The sequence below is a fragment of the Homo sapiens genome, chromosome 2, assembly GCF_000001405.40.
Source record: "Homo sapiens chromosome 2, GRCh38.p14 Primary Assembly".
Taxonomy (NCBI): Eukaryota; Metazoa; Chordata; class Mammalia; order Primates; family Hominidae; genus Homo; species Homo sapiens.
The window spans coordinates 31,570,147-31,593,057 of NC_000002.12; the positions used below are offsets into that span (position 1 = coordinate 31,570,147).

Consider the following 22,911-nt stretch of genomic DNA (forward strand, 5'->3'; position numbering starts at 1 on the left):
TAATCTGGTAGGACATCAAAAAGCTAATCCACCAGGATCAAGCAGGCTTTATCCCTGGGATACAAGGTTGAGTCAACATATGCAAATCAGTAAATGTGATTTACATAAGCAGAACTAAAAACAAAAACTACATGATTATCTTAATAGATTCAGAAAAGGCTTTCAATACAACTAAACACCTCATCATGTTAAAAACCCTCAACAAATGAGGCATTAAAGAAACATAATTCAAAATAACAAGAGCCATCAATGACAAACCCACAGCTAACATCATACTGAATAGGCAAAAGCTGGAAGCATTCCCCTTGAAAACTAGAACAAGATAAGGATACCCTCTCTCACCACTCCTTTTCAACATAGTACTGGAAATCCTGGCCAGAGCAATCAGGTAAGAGAAAGAAATAAAAGGCATACAAATAGGAAGAGAAGAGGTTAAACTATTCCTGTTTGCAGATGATGTGATTCTATACCTGGAACACCCCATAGTCTCTTCCCAAAAGCTTCTTGGTCTGATAAACAACTTCAGTAAAGTTTCAGGATACAAAATCAATGTACAAAAATTACTAGCATTCCTATACACCAACAACATCCAAACTGACAGCCAAATCAAGAATGCAATCCCATTCATGATTGCAGCAAAGAGAATAAAATACCTAGGAATACAACTAACCAGAGAGGTAAAAGATCTCTACAATGAGAATGACAAAACACTGCTGAAAGAAATCAGAGATGACACAAACAGAAAAACATTCCATGCTCATGGATAGAAAGAATCAATATTGTTAAAATGGCCATACTGCCAAAGCGATTTACAGATTAAATGCTATTCCTATCAAACTACTGATGACATTCTTCACAGAATTAGAAAAAAACTATTTTAAAATTCATATGGAATCAAAAAAGAGCTGGGATAACCAGGCAATCCTAAGAAAAAAGAACAAAGCTGGAGGCACCACATTACCTGACTTCAAACTACACTACAAGGCTACAGTAACCAAAACAGCGTGGCACTGGTACAAAAACAGACATATAGACCAATGGAACAGGATAGAGTGCCCAGAAACAATGCTGCATACCTACAACCATCTGATATTTAATACAGTTGACAAAAGCAAGTAACAGGGAAAGGACTCCCTATTCAAAATGGAGCTGGGATAACTGACTAGCCATATGCAGAAAATTGGAACTGGACCACTACCTTACACCACATACAAAAATCAACTCAAGATGAATTAAAGACTTAAATGCAAAACCTAAAACCATAAACACCCTAGAAGAAAACCTAGAAAATGCCATTCTGGACATAGGATCTGGCAAAGACCTCATGACAAAGACACCAAAAGCAATTGCAACGTAACCAAAAATTGACAAATAGGACCTAATTAAACTAAAGAGCTTCTGCACAGGAAAAAAAACTATCAAGAGAGTAAACATGCAACTTACAGAATGGGAAAAAATATCTGCAAACTGTGCATCTGACAAAGGTCTAATATCCAGCATCTATAAGGAATTTAAACTAATTTACAAGCAAAAACCAAACAATTCAATTAAAAGTGGGCAAAGGACATCAACAGATACTTTTCAAAACAAGATATATGTGGCCAACAAGGATATGAAAAAATGCTCGGCATCACTAATCATTAGAGAAATGCAAATCAAAACCACCATAAAATATCATCTCACATCAATCAGAATAGCTACTATTAAAAAGTCAAAAATAATAAATGCTGGCAAGGTTATGGAGAAAAGGGAACGCCTATACACTGCTAGGAGGAATTTCTCAAATAATTTAAAACAGAATCACCATTGAACTCAGCAATCCCATTATTGGGTATATCCCCAAAGGAATATATATTGTTCTACCATAAAGACACATGCATGTGCATGCTCATTGCAGCACGTATTCACAACAGTCAAGACATGAACTCAACCTAAATATCCATCAATGGTGGACTGGATAAAGAAAATGTGGCATATATACACCATGGAATATTATGCAGCCATGAAAAATAATGAGATCATGTCCTTTGCAGGCCATTATCCTCAGCTAACTAACATAGAAACTGAAAACCAACTGCATATCCTCACTTATAAATGGGAGCTAAACACCAAGTACATATGGATACTAAGAGAACAACAGCACTGGGGTCTACTTGAGGGTGGAGGATGGAAGGAGGGTGATGATTGAAAAAATACCTATCGGGTAGTATGCTTATTACTGGGGTGATGAAATAATCTGTACACCAAACCCCTGAGACATGTAGTTTACCTGTATAACAGAACTGCATATGTAAACTTGAACCTAAAAATAATTTTTTTAAAACAAAAGACAGTTAAGAGAATAAAAGAGACAAGTCACAAACTGAGAGAAAATATTTGCTAAGTTTATACCTGGCAAAATACTTCTATCCAGAATACATAAACAACTTTTAAAACTCAATAATAAGAAAACAAACAACCCAATACACTAGAACTTAGATTTGTTTATCACATGAGTAACTTTTGGCAAGTAAAGGGCATTGACTGACAGCATGAGACACAGAGTTAAGTTTTAAAAGATAGAAGTAAGATCATGTACTGCTGATACAAGAGGGCAGGCAGAGAGGCAAGAGAGAACCAGAGTCTATACATGAAAAAAGATCTTGGGATGTTTCGTGGTTAGAAAGAAAAAATATCAAAACCAAATTACCCTGTTTTCTTCACAGTAACTTCTAGGATCAGCCTTAACAATATGGAGCAAATATTAAAAAAAAGAAATTGAAAGAGGCCCAGAGCCTAATTTAAGACTTGGGTAGTAGGACTGGATAATATGGCATAGTTACAGAAGATGTTTGGAATCTAAAAGTAGAGAGATACTCCAAGACTGAGTATACAAAGTATAAGGCAAATTTAAGTCACAGATCACCAAATGGGCCCCTTTTCCCAACAGACATCATGTCCCCACCCAGAAATCTGGGAACAGGCCATTCTTCAAGGACCAGGTCAAGTCTCCCATCTTCACTCCCACTCACTCCATCAATGCTCTGCACTGCAATCACTTGTAAAATAGCACTAATAACAGGGATTGCCTCAAGGACAAAATGAGATAGCCAATGCAAAGAACATAATATAATGCCTGGAACACCCAGAGCGCAATAAATATTGGTTTCCCTTCTCTCCCTTCTATAACCAAATGGAAGACAAATTGCACTGTTGGCCCTAGTTCAGGGGTTTTTAAAATTTAGAGCTCCTATGTTGAGCTGAGTCTCGTTAAAGGCTCCTGGGTTGAGCACAGAAACTTTTAAAACAACTTGAGTCCAGACTTTGATGTCCCCATTGCCATACATGGCAGGGAGTCAACAGCAGAACGGGAAGTACCCCAAGTTGCAGAAACAAGTTGCCAGGCTGTGGCAAAATTCAATAAGTAGACAACGTTTGTATTCCATCTAGTAACAAAAAATATTTATGCTCCCCCTACAGCTGGCTGAGGGCCCTTCATTAGAGCATCACTGCAAGCCCTTCCACTGTCCCTCACCCATTCCTCCTCAGGCAAGGAAATGTGAATTACCTGATGGGTCAATCTGGGAGCAGGACCTGCCAAAGGATGCGTACAGCTCAGCCCTTCTGCTGTCTTTTCAGAACAGGTACCACTGTGAGAGGCCTGTGGTTGCCCAGCCATGATCATAGCTAATTATTTCTGAGGTACTGTGTTATAAGGCCCATATAATCCAAAAATCTAAGCCACATTCCCCCAAACCAGCTTTACCAGTAATAAAAGGTGGTAATATGTCTCTAGTTACCTAATTCCTGGATCTCTCAGTTAGTTCTGAACTTGAATGGAGAAGAAGGGTGCCATTTTGAGGCCCCCTCAACACCTATCCACCTATCTATCTGCCCCCTGTCCCATGCACAATCAAACATAGACAGGCACTAGGGCCCTCTCAGATGAATGTTCAGTGGCCTGGCGGGGGCCCGTGCTAACCAGGCTTCTTTCCCCCTCAGTTTACATTTTCCCACCTGCCTGATATTGTCAGACTGACGTTGCTGCCACCCAAGTTTCACACCAGAAAGAGTGAGAAGCACACAATGAAGGTTCTTTCCTGCCTTCTTCCTAGAGGGCAAGCACTAGGTATTGTACTCCTATGACTCCCATGAGACCTAGCATAGTTCTGAGCCTATAGAACTCTGATAAAGATCAGGAGACCAGGCTTCAAGCTCCACTCTGCCCTTTCTTGCCATGTAACTTGGTACATGTCACTTTGCCAGTCTGAATCCTTGAATTCCCATCGTAATTCTTTATTTTGTTTGTTCTTTTTAAGTGACATTAAATTAGATTTTAAATGGACAAAAAGTTGGTCCTTTCTTCAGTGTGGTAAAAGTGAAGTGGTCACGATCTCCAAAGCTGGTTTATATTTTTGGCAAACATAGCTATATATTTTTCAGATGTGCTTATGATGTCATTCCATTTAGAATGAAAACTCCAAGACTCCTACTATTTTCCCATAAAAGTTCAAATAAAAACTTAGAACCCAAGAATTCTCAGAAAACAATATTTACTGCCAAGTCCCCACTTACATGTAGCAGAAATTTTCTAAGATATGCCCGCTGCTTTGCTATAGAATTTAACCAAATTTTATTATAGAATTACCAGGGCACTGAATGTAAAGCCACGCCATTCATAGTTTTCTTTAGAAGGGATTGGTAAACTATGGCCCATAGGCCAAATATGGCCCACTGCTTGTTTTTGTAAATAAAGCTTTATTGGAATACAACCACATTCATCTGTTTACATAATGTCTGTAGCTGCTTTCCCGCTATAACAGTAGGGGTGAGTTGCTGCAATAGAGATCATGACCTGGCTTTTTACAGAAAAAGTTTGCTGACTCTCATTCTAAAAAAATCCTTCAATTAATCTTAATTTATTTAAATTATGATTCAGGAACATCCTTAACACATGATTAAGTGATCACAGGAATGTTGCTTTTCTTGCTTGGGCTTTTTTTTTCTTAATCTCTAAGAGGAGAGATTTGTCTATTGTTTCCAAAGTAGCCATTAATTCTCATTCTGATTCTCAGCAGATGAGTAGTTTCCTTAGCAAGGTCTGATTACTTCTGAATAGTTGAGACATCTGCACCTCTCGTGAAATAAGAGAAGCATTGGCAGGGGCTCATGAGAAGACTCAAGTTCCAACTCTTTGATTTCCCCCTAACTGACCCAACCTTTTGTGCTTTGCTTCTGTAAAATGAAGAGGCTGGGCAGATGAGAACTACGTTTCCTTAGAACAGATAATTATGATCCAGTGTGTGAAATGCCTCATCGAAAGCCACACTGCCTATTATGAAAGCCCAAAGAACAGCATCACAACTGGATTTAGAGAAAAGAAAAGACTCAGACAAGGCTTCTTGGAGGAAAGGATGCCTGACCTGAATCTTGAAGGATGAGGAGAAATTCCGCTGGGGAATGAACTGACTAATAAAGCAAAAAGCACCTTATTGAAGCCATCATTTTATTTGGCTAATCAAAAAAATGTTTCAGCATCTAAACCTCAAGGAATATCTCTCCGAATTCAAACAGACTCTAATGTGTGCATTATACTCTGCTTCTAGATGTATATCATGGAAATTACATTGCCCAAAACCTTTTCACAATGTAGTCACTTCTTCTCTGGAAAAAAAAATGTTTCTTTGTCTTGTTCATTCAGTTATCAAGGTCCCATCAAAGTCTTGAAAAAGACATCAGCCACCACATGCATAAGTGATGTGACTGACCACTGTATGGAACACCAAGACTTCTTGGGAAAGTGAAGACCAATCAGAGAGTTTAGACAAGGGGTCATTCCACAGCTGTAATCACAGTCAACAAGAGGTGAGATGGATGGATTAAAGATTTAAACGTTAGACCTAAAACCATAAAAACCCTAGAAGAAAACCTAGGCATTACCATTCAGGACATAGGCGTGGGCAAGGACTTCATGTCCAAAACACGAAAAGCAATGGCAACAAAAGCCAAAATTGACAAATGGGATCTAATTAAACTAAAGAGCTTCTGCACAGCAAAAGAAACTACCATCAGAGTGAACAGGCAACCTACAAAATGGGAGAAAATTTTCGCAACCTACTCATCTGACAAAGGGCTAATATCCAGAATCTACAATGAACTCAAACAAATTTACAAGAAAAAAACAAACAACCCCATCAAAAAGTGGGCGAAGGACATGAACAGACACTTCTCAAAAGAAGACATTTATGCAGCCAAAAAACACATGAAGAAATGCTCATCATCACTGGCCATCAGAGAAATGCAAATCAAAACCACTATGAGATATCATCTCACACCAGTTAGAATGGCAATCATTAAAAAGTCAGGAAATAACAGGTGCTGGAGAGGATGTGGAGAAATAGGAACACTTTTACACTGTTGGTGGGACTGTAAACTAGTTCAACCATTGTGGAAGTCAGTGTGGCGATTCCTCAGGGATCTAGAACTAGAAATACCATTTGACCCAGCCATCCCAATACTGGGTATATACCCAAAGGACTATAAATCATGCTGCTATAAAGACACATGCACACATATGTTTATTGTGGCACTATTCACAATAGCAAAGACTTGGAACCAACCCAAATGTCCAACAATGATAGACTGGATTAAGAAAATGTGGCACATATACACCATGGAATACTATGCAGCCATAAAAAATGATGAGTTCATGTCCTTTGTAGGGACATGGATGAAATTGGAAACCATCATTCTCAGTAAACTATCGCAAGAACAAAAAACCAAACACCGCATATTCTCACTCATAGGTGGGAATTGAACAATGAGATCACATGGACACAGGAAGGGGAATATCACACTCTGGGAACTGTGGTGGTCTCTGTGTTGGTTTTTCTTATAGCATTGGGAGATATACCTAATGCTAGATGACACGTTAGTGGGTGCAGCGCACCAGCATGGCACATGTATACATATGTAACTAACCTGCACAATGTGCACATGTACCCTAAAACTTAGAGTATAATAAAAAAAAAAACATTAAAAAAAAAAAAAAAAAAAAGAGGTGAGATAACTCTTGACTTCAAATGCCTTTGGCAGTGGGATTAGGCAATGTGCTTAGGCAGCAGTCATTTCCATGTGGCTAAAGAATCCAAACAGCCACAACAATAGATTCTGAAGAGAGGAAAGTTATCTGAATTGACCTAACTATGCAATCTCAGCAATTATGATTCCCAAGTAATTGCTAGCTCTCCTACAATTCTGTCTGTACGGTTGTTGTAAGTAGAGTTCATTCATGCATTCAACAAATTCTAGTGAGTACCAACTATGTACCAGCTCTTTGTATACAATGGGGATACAGCCATAAAAGTGAGACAAAAACCTTTGACCCTGTGGAATCTACATTCTTGTGTGCCATCCTTGTATTGAGAAAAGTACAATGAGTTTTAACTTCTATTTGATGGGACATATTGCTGCTTTGAACAGTCCCCAATGGACATTTTGCAAAAGAGTCTGAGCCAAACCTGAGCCATCCTTTCTCCCTGTCTCTCCGTCTTATTCTCTGTCTTAGCAACACACAGCACGAGATAAAGCCAAGACAGCCTGATGCTTGTTCCTTAATGCACCCTCAGTATCAAGCCAAATGACTCCTTAAGCCTCGAAACAGATATGTATGATTATATCAAGACCCTAAAGAATGTTCATAACCTTTGAACCACTTCTGGAAATCCTAAGAAAATAGATCTAACCTTTGAAAAGAATTTAGATGCAAAAAATGTACATCACAGCTTCAATGAACCTAGCCTCACCCCAAGACAAATTAAATGTCCAACTATAAATGAATATATAGGTAAATTATTATTTTTACAGTAGATGAAATAAGCAGATATTAAGAAATCTGTGATAATGTTGGAAAATACTATAAAATGTTAGGTAATTAAACAGAACTAAAAAACCATATATTCAACATAACAAGCATGTGTGAAAATCTACTAAGGAAAAAGATTTGATAGAAATTCTCTAAAACATTAATATTTAATATACTTAGATGTAATTATGAGTATTTTCTACTTTTGGGATTTTTCCATTTTTCATTAGGAAAAAATGTTTTTATAATTTAAAAAATTTTTACATAATAATTTTAAGAATAAATATAGTTTTTAAAAAGCAAGAATGAGGTCGCATTTATCCAACAAGTATACAACAGTTTATTATCATACCTGAAGAGCCTGAGATCTGGAGTCTACTGCCTGGGTTTGAACTCTGATTCCTCGTTATTGTGTGACCTTGGGCAAGGAAGTTATTTAACCTTTTCTTGCTCCAGTTTTCCACCTGCAAAATGGGCGTGCCTACCTAAATGGGTTGGTATGAGGATGAGTAAATTATTTACTCAGAGTGTTTGGCACACAGAGTGTAACACCCTGTAAGCACTCAAATAATAACAGATCACACACTCCAGTGGCTTCAAAGAAAGAATTCAAAAAAGAGGAAAGACAAACATCAGATCCCGATGCCTCAGGAACAAGTAGCTCAAGAGTTGTACTTCCAGTGGGCAATTTTCCCTCAGGCAGAATGAATCTCCAAGTCCTTTACTAATATTTTAAAATTTCCTCTGAAGAAGGACAATATGTAGATATTTGTTTTATGCATAATTACTCCTTTGGGTTTTTTTTTAAATGCACCGGTCATAATGTATTGTGCAAAGTGCCTTTTGATTTCAAAAACAAGCCTAAAGATTACATTAATATGATTGTCACAAAACACTAATCATTAAGATGAAATGACCTCATAAAAATATTGCTTATGTTGCCAACATACAGTAGTTAATTTGAAGATAAAAATAATTGTTGACAAAAATCACATTTCTGTCAAATGTCTGTTCAAAAATCAGTGAAATAAAAAACTAATCTCTTATCTCCTGTATCCAACATCCTTCTTTCTGTGCAAATTAAACCATCTAAATCTGAGTAAAATAAAATCTGTGTAAAATAAAGAATCTTGTTCACAGCAGGCTTTTAGTAAATATTTGTTGAAAGGATACAGTTTAGTTCTTATTACTTGACAACATTTGCCTTTTAAAAAGAGTGAGAATTCAGTTAAGATTGCATAAATATTAAATCTTGACCAATAAAGAAGATTCAGAGGATAAGAGGAAATTAAGAAAGACAGTTTGAAATCCGTCTCTGACACCTTCTTCTCTCGAAATGAGGCATCACTTTCTCTTTACGAGACAGATTATGCCAGAGGCATTCTTTATCCTAATTTCTAATCCAAACTTCCTTGATCTTTTGACCCTAGGAATCTTCTACTCAAAATAAGGCAAAACCTTCAAGGTTTTGATTTCGTTTGATAACTTTTCTCTGTTTATGGGCTCTGTTCTCTTCTTGCATAGAATATCTGCCTACTTAAAACGGCTAAAAGGTCTTAAACCTCAGAGATTCACAAGCTCAGATTTGCATCTTAGCGGGCACCAGCTGTATTGTCTTCTTTCAGTCCCATAACCTTACTCAGCCTCAGTTTCTTTGTAAAGTGGACATAATAAATATCTCTCAAAAGGTTACAACAGAGTTAAGTGAGACCATAGATACTAAACGATTGGGCATGGTAGGCAATTTAACAATGTGTTCGTTCTTCCCTTTCCCTGTGAGACTTTACTGAGGCTGGACAGTCTTTCTCTGAACCCTGACATCCCTTGGTCTCTTTCCTGTCTTTCCTTCCCAGAGCAGAAAGCAAAGTTCTCCTGAACCCGGATTTTTTAAATCTAGAAGAACATTTGAGCTGTAAGTTACCCACTCACATTTCAAGTCCCAGGGAAATTGGAAAGGTAGATGAATTGGTGGTGTGCTTGGTCCCTTTTGGGAGGGGCCTAAGAAGCGGGGACCCTCGCTTGAGTCAGTGGGATCTCACTATATTCTCTTCCCCATCTGTGAAGTCTGGATTTGGGCTCTACCCACCTTCCTCCTTAGACCTGCAAAGACTAAATCAATGAGAACCTCTGAGCTGAGTTTCCCTCGGGAGATGCCAAACGCGTAAGACTCTCCCAAGATCCCAGAACTAATCTGTCCCCACCCTGCAAGGAAAAGGTGAAGGAAGAAAGGGAAGCGGGGCGGGGCGCGATATGCCACAGGTAACCGCCGCCTGCGCGCAGTTAAGGAACAGTCCTGTCCAATAGGTCTCCCCAACCTGAGCTTTCCAGGTCGCCTCCCGCCCGCAGGACCTCTTTCTCTCGAGCAGCCAGAGGATTTGGAGCTGCTGAGAGCGGATGAGGTCCTGGGGGAGTGAAGGCGGCGTCTGTGCCGCAGCCGCTTGTCAACTCTCTAGCGTCCAAGCCCCGGCCCCGGCCCCCGCCAGGTGCGCCAGGCAGGCTGGCCTCCGCGTTCCTCACAGCGCCCCACGCTGCCTCCTTGGCGTTCCTCGGTGCGCGCTCCACGCTGCGCTCCTGGACGCCGGGAGCAGGGCAGTGCGCTGCACTGGGCGCCCGCAAGGGAAAAACGCTACCTGTGGAAGTAATGTAGGCAGAAGAGGCCCAGAAGTACCGTCCCAGGTGGCCCGAAGAGGGAGAGGGGCTGCCGGGCGAGGATCCCCGCGGGCACCGCGAAGGAAGGCAGCTCCTGCAGGAACCAGGCGGCGCGGGCTGGCAGGCGGGTAGCCGCCGGCTTCAGGCTCTCCGTGTGCTTCCCGTAGCCGGAGGGCTTCGCGACGTACAAGGCCAGTGCCCCAAGGGCGACCAAAGTGGCGCTGCCTGCCAGCACTGGGCTCTGCTGGCACTGAACCTGCATCGCGCCGTGTTCCTCGCCGGTGGCCGCTGCCCTCCCAGAAGAGAGCGCGGCCCCCGCAACCCCTTTATGGAGCGCCAGACGCCACCCGTGTCCGCCCCCTCGGCCTTGGCTCCCGCCCCTCCATCCTGCCTCCCACCTCGCCGCGTCCAGCCCTGGCGCGGTTCGCAGCAATACCCCTTTCTCAAGGATGCAGCCGCGGTGGCCGGAGGAGAACGAAGGCCTTCTTAGTTCGCCCGCCCTCTCCACGGCTTTACATTCACCTCCCGCTTAGGCTGTCCTTCCATGACTTGTTCCTCAACTATTAGCGTCTGATGCGCATACTTCTGGAACTAAGACACGGGAAGAAAACCCCACGGGGACGATTCAGCTGGGGTGGTTCTTCCGCCCCAACACACACCCTCTGTGCCGTCGGTCACCACGCAGTCCCACCCTCGAACACCCAAGCCAAGGTCTTTCCATCTCCTCCGGTTCCTCATGCACTTTCACTCCCTCACAGCTCCCACCCAACATAGGACCTTCCTTGGACCCTGAACCATCCTGGCTCTCTGAGCGTCTGCCAGCCCTTCTGCTCTGGGGCGCCGCGCTCCTTAGCCACTCTCAGCATCAGTGCCAGCTCTGCCCCACCACACGCCCCCGGCAGGTACCAGTCTCTCCCGGCCCTAATTCCTCAGCGGTTTCTCTCTGCATCCCCGCACGCGTCCCTGAGCCGCCTGCCTGGGTCAGAGAGGAGCGTCCGCTGAGCTCGGGTGATCATGCACAGATTGGGGCCAGAAGTCGAGATTCTGCGCGTCCTCTCCCGCCACCCCACTCCCGGTCCCCTAGAGTGGCCCAGACTCAGGCTAAAGTCTAGGGCTTCTTTCCTGGGATGCCCTTTCCCAGCTCCTAGAGCCAATGAGCCGTGGCCCATCAGGTGGTGGCCTGGCGACCCCGCTGTTCTCTGAACTCCTGTCTAGCCGTCATACACGCAGACGCGGTTCTTTCTCTCTTCCGTTTCCCACCTTTATGTTATCCTCCAGCCCCTCCGTCTTCTACCTCTTCCGTTCTATGATTCAGCTTCCAGGCTTTCTTGGCTGCCTCCTCCTCTGTTTCCCAACCCTTCTTTTCTTCTCTTCCTTCTTTCTTCGACCCGGCTTTCTCCTTTAGGTTGACCTCCTCTTCCCACCTGCTGTTTACCTCATTCTTTCATCTTCCTGTCCCATCTCCCTTGATTACTTTATCCCTGTTTTCTCCTCTGGTCCCTACTTGGGGCTCCACCCCAGTCCTTCTCATTTTTCACTCTTCCCTTACTTTGGAGGTCTCTTCTCTTCCTTCCCCTTCAACTCACGCCTCCCAGGAGCCCCATTCAGTGTATCTCCATCCACTTCTGCTGGATCAGGCCAGCTGGTCCAATGACAGACACAACCCCTCATCTGCTCCCGTTTGGGGTGTCTCCTGATTCTTGGCACACATGGTATATGGTGATGCTTTAGCACTACAGGGCACCCTCTGCTTGCTGACCAAGAGTCGTTTATCATATTCCCATTGGGTTATAATTAATGCTAATCATACTTCAGTTTTTAATTGATCACCACTTTGGAATCACTCATACTGACCGAAGCATTTTTCATGGAAAAGCCAGGTCTTAGCCATCATAGCCGTTTCAAGCTTTTTTTGCACTGGCTTTAGAGTACAAGTCCAGTCCCAGCTTCCTCAGCTACAACCTGCTTGTTGAAGATGCCCAAATCTAGATTGCCAGCAAAGATATGAGCTTTAGCTCTGCGTTTTCTCCCTGCTGGAAAACTCCACTTACATGTCCTTCAGAGACCTCAAAACCAGCCCTACCCAAAACTAAACCCAGTTATTTTTCCCTCCACCCACTTGGACCCAAATTCTCCTTCTATGTTCCTGAGTGTTACCTCTTCCCTGTCCTCAATTGCCATAGCCTCCCTAGGAAGCTGGCTCATAGACTCAGTAAACAATAGATTTCATGATACCATACAGCATTAGGAGAACAGGCAGTGCACTATTTCAAACCCAGCTCAATGGAATATTTTTTTAAATGAAATGTCTTCTGTCTCAATTTCTTCCTCTCTTTTCTTCCGACTCTGCCCACTTTTTGTCCTCATGATCTTTTCTCCACTATTATAACAATTAGCTTGATAAAACCAGTCATCTTCAGCTTATGCATCTGTGGGTTGGCTGTGGGTCAGAAATCTGGGCTGGGCTTGACTTATCTTAACAATATTCACTCATTCATCTGTGTAACAAGTTAGAGCCCAGCTCCAGGCTGTGTTTGGATGGAGAAACTTAGCTGAGGCTCTCATCCTGGGATGAGTGAGCTAGCTCCACCATGTCTATATAATGTTAATAACAAAAGTACGAGAGTAGAAGAAACACACAAGGCCTCTTCAGGCTCAGGCCAAGAACAAGCACACCCTTACTTCCTATTTATTGTATTGGCCAAATCAAGTCATATGGTGGATTCTAGAGCCAAAGTGAGAGACTATTTGTAAAGTTACATGGTAAAGGGCAGGGATATAGTGGGAGGTAGAAAATTGGAACCAATAATGCAACTGGTCTGTATTACATGCAAGAAGAAAGTGCCCAATTATAAATATACAGCTTGGTTGATTTGCACAAACTGAACACCCTCTTGCAAGCTGCACCTAGGTCAAGATACAGATTATCAGCATATCAGGATCTGTGCTCCTGCCTCCTTACATCCTCCTTCCAGGAAAAAAAAAAAAAACAAAAAAAAAGCAAAAAAAAAACCAAAAAAAAAGCAAAAAAAAAAAACACCACTACCCTGACTTCTAACACCATAAGTTAATTTTGTCTGCTTTTGAATTTCGGGTAAGTGGAATCATACAGTACTTACTCTTTTTAATCAATGTGGTAACATATGCAGACACAGAAATGACTATCGTGAAGGAAAAGGTTTATATCGACAGATCCCTACAAACAGAAGACACAGCACACCACCCAAGACCACATGGAGAAGCACCAGTGTTAGGAGGCAGCTGGAGTGAGGGGTCAAGGTGGGCAAGAGCCTTTACTGTAGTTTCTGCAGGAAAGAGTGGGCATGACAAGGTAATCAGGCTTAGGATTAGCTCGTTTGAATACTTTTAGCAGGCTCTGGGGTACAGCGGCTGTCTTTACTTTTCTGTTACCTGGACCTGGCTGATTAGGGCAGGAGAATAGTGGCCCAGGGTGTAGAGTCCTGATAAAGGAAGTGGTTGGGGAACGTATGAGCCCTGAATTAGTTGGTTTGCATATGAAAGATGTGTTAGAGTCATTTATAATCTCCAGGAAACAGCTAGCTGGGAGATCCCAGAAGGCCATGGTTTAGTAGTAGAAATGATCTACAGAGTATTGGAATTAGGTAGAATAAAAGCTATCTTCTTAACAAAACATAAAATCAATCCCCCAAAGGATCAAGATGACTCACAAGTAACCTAACACAGTCCAACACTGTTTAAAGGAAGTCAATTAAATCCAGACAAGTAAGAATATAGCCTTTACAATATCCAGCATTCCTAAAATTACTAGGCATGTTACATCAACTTTTGACAACAACTACTAGAGTTGAGCCAAACTTCAAAAGTTAAGGACATGGTCCTCCATAACACTGTCCTTACTTCAGACATCAGCTGCAAGTTCAAGGTTACGTAAGCTACCTATACTTCTAAACAGCTGGCTACCATATTTAGGAATCCCCACTAACCCTTCAAGCTTGATAATTCACTAAAAAAAATTAAAGAACTCTGGAAAGCACTATACTTACAACTACAGTTTTATTATAGCAAAAATATCCAAACAGAACTAGCCAAAAGAAGAGATGTATAGTACTATGGGAGGTGGAGCAAGATGGTGGAATAGAAGGCTCCACTGATTGTTTCCCCAACAAGGACACCAATTTAACAACTATCTGTGCAAGCAAAGCTCCTTCACAAGAACCAAAACTCAAGTGAGCACTTGCAGTACCTGCTTTTAACTTTGTGTTGCTGAAAAAGGCACTGAAAAGGTTGCAGAAGGAGTCTTGAAGCACTGAAGCCACCCCTCCATCACACCCTGGCAGCTGTGGTGTGGTGCAAAGAGCATTTTCGTGCACTGGGTGAGGGAGAACACATCAATGGTGAGGCATTAAACTCAGTGTTGTCCTGTTACAGCAAAAAGGAAAGCCAGACAAAGTTCAGCTGATGCCCACACATAAAGGGAGCATTCAAACCAGTCCCAGCCAAAGGGGAATCACTAATTCCAGCAGTCAGAATTTCAGTTCCCACAAACCTCACCACTGAGGGCTGAAGTGCTCTGGATCTCTGACTAAACCTGAAAGGCAGTTTAGGCCAAAAGAACTGCAATTCTTAGACAAGTCCTAGTACTGAACTAGGGCCAGAGACAGTGGACTGAGGGGTGCAAAATATACTGAGACACCAGCTGGGGCAGCCAAGGGAGTGCTGGCATCACCCCTCCCCAATCCCAGGCTGCACAACTCACAACTCTAAAAGAGACCCCTTCCTGCTGCTTGAGAAGAGGAGAGGAAAGAGTTGAGGAGGACTCTGCCTTGCATCTTGGATACCAGCTCAGCCACAACAGATATGGCACCAGTCAGAATAATGAGGTCCCTGTTCCAGGCCCTAGCTTCCAGGTGACATTCCTAGAAACACCCTGGGCCAGAAGGGAACCCACTGCTTTGAAGGGAAAGACCCAGTCATGGCAGCGTTCATCACCTGCTAGCTGAAAAGCCCTTTGGCTCTGAATAACCAGCAGTGATACCCAGATACTACATCAAGGGCCTTGGGTGAGCCTCTGAGACTAGCTGGTTTCAGGTACTGGCTCAGCCACAGGGAGGTAAAGCACCAAGCAAGCTCTTGGGGGCCCTTGATTCCAAGAGTTGACTCTTCAACAGCATTTCTAGACCTTTCCTGGGCCACAGGGAAGCCCACTGCCCCAAAGAGTGAGTCCCAGGCCAGGCAGCAGTCACCACCAGCTGACTTAATAGCCTTTCTGCCTTAAATGAATACCTGTGATAATCCAGCAGTACTTCTTGTGGGCTGTGGAGTGAGGCTCCTCTGCCTTTGGACAGGGGAGGAAAGAGTGGGAAAGACTGTGTTTTGTGGTTTGAGTGCCAGCTCAGTGTTTTTGTTTATTCATTTTATTATTATTTATTATTATTATTATTTCAATAGGTTTTTGGGGAACAGGTGGTGTTTGGTTACACAGATAAGTTCTTAGTGGTGATTTCTGAGATTTTGGTGCCCATCACCCAAGCGGTGTACGCCGTACCCAATGTGTAGTCTTTTATCCCCTACTCCCCTCTCACACTTTCCCCCGAGTCCCCCCAGCTCAATTTTAATGCAATAGAATGCCAGGTAGACTTCAAAGGTTTTTTACTCTAGTCCCTGACTCCTAGACAACATCTCTGGACCCACCTGGGGCTTGGGGGAACTTGCCACCCTGAAGGGAAGGGCACAGACCTGGATGGCTTTTCCACCTGTTTATTGTAGAGCCCCAAGGCCTTGAGCAAACATAGGCAGTGGCCAGGGAGTGGTTACAGCAGGGAAGACCCAGTGTTGTGCTGGCTTCAAGTCTGGCTGAGCACAGTCATAGTGGTGGTGTCCTCAGGGGTGCTGGTTTCACTCCACTCCTAGCTTCAGGTGTCTCAGAACTGACAGAGGGACTCTGTTTGGGAGAAGTAAGGAAAGAAAATAAGAGTATCTGCCTGGTAATCCAGAGAATTATCCTGGATCTTGTCCAAGACCATCAAAGCAGTACATCTAGAAACTGCAAGAACCATAGCATTACTGGGATTGTGGTACCCTCTAAAGCAGATACAGCATAGATCAAAATACTCCGGTCTTTTCAAATATCTGAAAATCCATCCCAAGGAGGACAGGAACAAAAAAACACAGACAGTGAAGCCTACAATAAATCCTAACACCAAAGAACATTTACAAGTATCAAGATAATCCAGGAAAACATGACTTCACCAAATGAACTAAGTAAGGCACCATGGACCAATCCTGGAGAAACAAGACATAGGACCATTCAGACAGAGAATTCAAAATAGCTGCTTTGAGAAATCTCAAAGAAATTAAAGATAACACATAGGAGAAATTCAGAATTCTATCAGATAAATTTAACAAAGAGATTAAAATACTTTAAAAGAATCAAACAGAAACTCCATCAAAAAGTGGATGAAGGATATGAAAAGATACTCCCCAAAAGAAGACATTTATGCGGCCAACAAACATATGAAAAAAAGCTCATCATCACTGATCATTAGAGAAACGCAAATCAAAACCACAATAAGATACCATCTCATTGGTATCTCATCACCGTTAGAATGCTGATCATTAAAAAGTCAGGAAACAACAGATGCTGGCAAAGCTGTGGAGAAATAGGAATGCTTTTACATTGTTGGTGGGAGTGTAAATTAGTTCAACCATTGTGGAAGACAGTGTGGTGATTCCTTAAGGATCTAGAACCAGAAATACCATTTGACCCAGCAATCCCATTACTGGGTATGTACCCAAAGGATCATAATTCATTCTACTATAAAGACACATGCACACATGTTTATGGCAGCACTATTTACAATAGCAAAGTCATGGAACCCGAATGCCCATCAATGGTAGACTGGATAAGGAAAATGTGGCACATATACACAATGGAATACTATGCAGCCATAAAAAAAATGAGTTCATGTCCTTTGCAGGGACATGGATGAAGCTGTAAGCCATCATTCTCAGCAAACAAACACAGGAACAGAAAATCAAACACCCCATGTTCTCACTCATAAGTGGCAGTTGAACAATGAGAACACATGGATACAGGGAGGGGAACATTATACACCAGGACCTGTCAAGGGGTTGGAGTCAAGGGGAGGGAGAGCGTTAGGACAAATACCAAATGCATGTGGGGCTTAAAACCTAGATGACGGGTTGAAGGTGCAGCAAACTACCATGGCACATGTATACCTATGTAACAAACCTGTATGTTCTGCACATGTATCCCAGAACTTAAAGTAGAATTTTTAAAAATTTTAAAAAGAATCAAACAGAAATTCTGGAGCTAAAAATGCAATTGGCATATTGAAGAATGCATCAGAATCTTTTCATAGCAGAATTGATCAAGCAGAAGAATTAGTGAGCTTGAAGACAAGCTATTTGAAAATATACAGTCAGAGGAGACAAAAGAAAAAAGAATCAAAAAGAATGAAGCATGCCTACAGGATCTAGAAAATAGCTTCAAAAGGGCAAATCTAAGAGTTATTGGTCTAAAGAGGACATAGAGAAAGAGAGAGGGGTGGAAAGTTTATTCAAAGGGCTAATAACAGAAAACTTCTCAAACCTAGAGAAACATATCAATATTCAAGTACAAGAAGGTTATAGAACATTAAGCAGATTCAACCCAAAAGAGACTACCTCAAGGCATTTAAATAATTAAACTCCCAAAGATCAAGGATAAAGAAAGAATCCTAAAACAAGCAAGAGAAAAGAAACAAATAACGTACAATGGGGCTCCAATACATCTGGCAGCAGTCCTCACAGTAGAAACCTTACCTTACAGGCAAGGAGAGAATGGCTTGATATATTTAAAATGCTGAAGGAAAAATCTTTTACCTTAGAATAATATATCTAGTGAAAATATTATGCAAACATGGAAGAGAGAAATAAAGACTTTCCAAAATAAAAGCTGAGGAATTTCATCAACACCAGACCTGTCCTACAAGAAATGCTAAAGGGAATACTTCAATCAAAAAGAAAAGGACATTAATGAGCAGTAAGTAATCACTTATTAAGTAATAATAAGTAATATGAAGATACAAAACAAACTGGTAATAGTAAGTACACAGAAAAACACTAAATATTATAACACTAACTGCAGTGTGTACACTATTCTTGTCCTAAATAGAAAGACAAAACAACAAACCAATAAAAAATCATAACTATATCACAAAATTGGAAAATGGTGGATAGCAGACAGAACTAACATGCAGCTCCTGCTTGGAATGGACAGAACAGTGTGTGGAGACTCACACTGTGAGCTTTTGCTGCAAGAACTACCATGGGAACATACCAGGAAAACTGAAAGAATTCACAGACCCTTTGAAAGAAGCAGTTTTACTGTTGCAAACTCTATGAGACAGCCAAAAAACTGTGAGTTCCCAAAGTGTGAGCAGGGAAAAGTTTGCCTCTGAACACACATCCCCACTGGGGAACCTGAAAATCCAGATCACAGGAGAAGGATTTAACCTTACCCAGAGCTGAAACAGATTTAGGATGCCAAGCAAAACATAAAAGTAGAAGAAGCAATGGGAAGAGCCCTGTAGACACTTCCACTGAACTGCCCATGTCAAGAGAGCTTGTACAGTGCATGGATAGCTGCCAGCCCCCGGGCCCTCATCCACCACCTCATCCAGTGGAGCTCATTCCCAGCTGTTGGGATAATGAATTTACATGAGCTGATAATGTAGACACGAATTCAGTCAGTGGCCAGGAGCGCAGAAGTTAATAAATACCTCTCTAGTGAGGGCAGGAAGGTGTGCTCTCCCAGGTCCTCCTTCTCCCCTCTGCCCGGATGCCCCCAGGAACTCCACAGACACCTTGGCACCTGCCCTGGTCTCAGCGAGAGAACACCTCCATTGGGGAAAGACTCTCATCTGCCTCTCTAGGGAGGGCTGGAGGCCTTGTGCCGAGGCCTGGGGGAGCCCAGGGAAACCATTCCTGGCCTCATCTCACAGAGATTCTTCAGGAAGGGAGGGCAGCCAGTAGAACTGGGGAGGGGCCACAGGGTGAAGGAAGCTCCTAGCTGATCTTTGTTATAATTTTGGCTGAGTACGAATTTTCCTGTGCAGAAACGGGGTGGGGGGCAAATGGGAAGTGCACATACAATTGCAGAAGCTGCAGCTGAAGGGAAGGGCAGGCAGGGAAGGGAGGCCTGAGAGCCCTGCTTGCTTTCTCAGTGGGAAGGATTGTAGCCTGGGGAAAGATCTCAGCCCTGCTCAAAGGCTGCCTGGATATAAACTCAGTGCTGTTGGAGGGGCATGGCGGGAGTAAGAGTGGCCTTGCTGGCTGCATGAGAGCTGAGTGAGGCCCGTCACTGCCTGTTTTCCCCCGCTTCCCTGGTGACATGTATAATGCAGTAGAGGCACCCATAATCCCCCTAGGAACATAACACCATTGGCTTAAGAACCACCTCTCTGTCCTCCACAGTGGCTGCAGCAAGCCCTGCCCAAGTAGCATCAGACCTGCCCAATCCTGCGCCCCCACCCCACCCACCCTGCGCTCAATGGTTTTTCTCTACCCACCCTGGCAGCTGAAAACAAAAGACATAAACTCTTGGGAGCTCTATGGCCCCGCTCATCACCTGAGAAACCCGAGTACTAATCCTGGCCAACACAGGGCAAGATTATATCCTCCATGAGCATGGAATGTTCTTCCATTTGTTTGTATCCTCTTTTATTTCACTGAGCAGTGGTTTGCAGTTCTCCTTGAAGAGATCCTTCACGTCCCTTGTAAGTAGGATTCCTAGGTATTTTATTCTCTTTGAAGTAATTGTGAATGGGAGTTCACTCATGATGGGTAGGAAGAATCAGTATCATGAAAATGGCCATACTGCCCAAGGTAATTTATAGATTCAATGCCATCCCCATCAAGCTACCAATGACTTTCTTCACAGAACTGGAAAAAACTACTTTAAAGTTCATATGGAACCAAAAAAGAGCCCTCATTGCCAAGTCAATCCTAAGCCAAAAGAACAAAGCTGGAGGCATCATGCTACCTGACTTCAAACTATACTACAAGGCTACAGTAACCAAAACAGCATGGTACTGGTACCAAAACATACTTATAGACCAATGGAACAGAACAGAGCCATCAGAAATAATGCCACATATATATAACTATCTGATCTTTGACAAACCTGACAAAAACAGGAAATGGGGAAAGGATTCCCTATTTAATAAATGGTGCTGGTGCTGGGAAAACTGGCTAGCCATATGTTGAAAGCTGAAACTGGATCCCTTCCTTACACTTTATACAAAAATTAATTCAAGATGGATTAAAGACTTAAATGTTAGACCTAAAACCATAAAAACCCTGGAAGAAAACCTAGGCAATACCATTCAGGACATAGGCATGGGCAAGGACTTCATGTCTAAAACACCAAAAGCAATGACAACAAAAGTCAAAATTGACAAATGGGATCTAATTAAACTAAAGGGCTTCTGCACAGCAAAAGAAAATACCATCAGAGTGAACAGGCAACATACAGAATGGGAGAACATTTTTGCAATCTATTCATCTGACAAAGGGCTAATATCCAGAATCTACAATGGACTCCAACAAATTTACAAGAGAAAAACCAATAACCCCATCAAAAAGTGGGTGAAGGACATGAACAGACATTTCTCAAAAGAAGACATTTATGCAGCCAAAAGACACATGAAAAAATGCTCATCATCACTGGCCATCAGAGAAATGCATATCAAAACCACAATAAGATACCATCTCACGCCAGTTAAAATGGCGATCATTAAAAAGTCAGGAAACAACAGGTGCTGGAGAGGATGTGGAGAAATAGGAACACTTTTACACTGTTGGTGGGACTGTAAACTAGTTCAACCATTGTGGAAGTCAGTGTGGTGATTCCTCAGGGATCTTGAACTAGAAATACCATTTGACCCAGCAATCCCATTACTGGGTATACACCCAAAGGATTACAAATCATGCTGCTATAAAGACACATGCACACGTATGTTTATTGCATCACTATTCACAACAGTGAAGACTTGGAACCAAGCCAAATGTGCAACAATGATAGACTGGATCAAGAAAATGCGGCACATATACAACATGGAATAACTACGCGCCATNAAAAATGATGAGTTCATGTCCTTTGTNAGGNCATGGATGAAGCTGGAAACCATCTTTCTCAGCAAACTATCGCAAGGACAAAAAACCAAACACCGCATGTTTTCACTCATAGGTGGGAATTGAACAATGAGAACACATGGGCACAGGAAGGGGAACATCACCCACGGCAGCCTGTTGTGGGGTGGGGGGAGGGGGGAGGGATAGCATTAGGAGATATACCTAATGTTAAATGACGAGTTAATGGGTGCAGCACACCAACATGGCACATGTGTACATATGTAACAAACCTGCACATTGTGCACACGTACCCTAAAACTTAAAGTATAATTTAAAAAAAAACAAAAATAAAAACAGCCCAAAAAAAAGAAAGAATATAAAAACACAGGAGTTTCAGCAATTAAAAAAAAAAAAAGATTATATCTCCCTTCTACTACCGCAGATGGTGGTCTTTTGAAAGTGCCACCTCCTGGCTGGAGGCCATCCAACTCAAGCCATTACAGCAACCCATAACAGAACAAACCTGATCCTAGGAAGGAGAAAACAACAGCTAATTCCACCACCTACAACACCCTGGCTAACCGGAAGTCCTGAGTCTGTCCATGTGACAGCTTCACTGCTAGCATAACCAGCATTTGAGAAAACGAGTGCACTAAACAAAACTAATACCAAGGACTCCCACAGAGTCCACTTCACTCCCCTGACACCTCCACCAGAGCAGACACTGGCATTCACAGCTGAGAGACCTGAAGCTGGATCACATCACAGGACTCTTTGTAGACATTTTTCAGCACCAGCCCAGAGCCCAGTAGTCCCACTGGGTGGCTAGACCCAGAAAGGCAATAGCAATCACTCCAGTCCAGCTCTAAAGAGGCCCCATCCCTGGGGGATAGGGTAGAGCACCACATCAAGGGATCATCTGTGGGACAAAATAATCTGAACAGCAGGCCTTGACTTCCAGATCTTTCCACTGACATAGTCTACTTAAATCAGAAGGAACCAGAGATGACAAAACAAGATTCCATAACACCCCCAAAAGATCACACTAGCTGTCCAGCAATAGACCCAAACCAAGAATAAGTCTTTGAATTACCAGATAAAGAATTTAGAATGTTAATTATCAAGCTACTCAAGGAGGCACCAGAGAAAAGTGAAAACCAATTTAATGCAGCCATAAAAAATGATGAGTTCATGTCCTTTGTAGGGACATGGATGAAATTGGAAACCATCATTCTCAGTAAACTATCGCAAGGACAAAAAACCAAACACTGCATGTTCTCACTCATAGATGGGAATTGAAC

At 42.5% G+C, this 22,911-nt stretch overlaps 1 protein-coding gene across 2 annotated transcripts in view; it reads right to left on the minus strand.

The window, feature by feature from the left end:
• Positions 1-22,911, minus strand: part of SRD5A2 (steroid 5 alpha-reductase 2) — a 140,530-nt gene that overhangs the window by 47,667 nt on the left and 69,952 nt on the right. Inside the window, exon 1 of one of the 2 annotated variants that reach the window (NM_000348.4) lies at positions 10,474-10,792. The exons of the other annotated variant lie outside the window; for it this stretch is intronic. Within the exon in view, the coding sequence (NP_000339.2) occupies positions 10,474-10,754 (281 nt within the window). The 5' untranslated portion in view covers positions 10,755-10,792. Of the gene's footprint in view, positions 1-10,473; positions 10,793-22,911 lie in introns of those variants that run through there. 2 annotated transcript variants of the gene reach the window in all.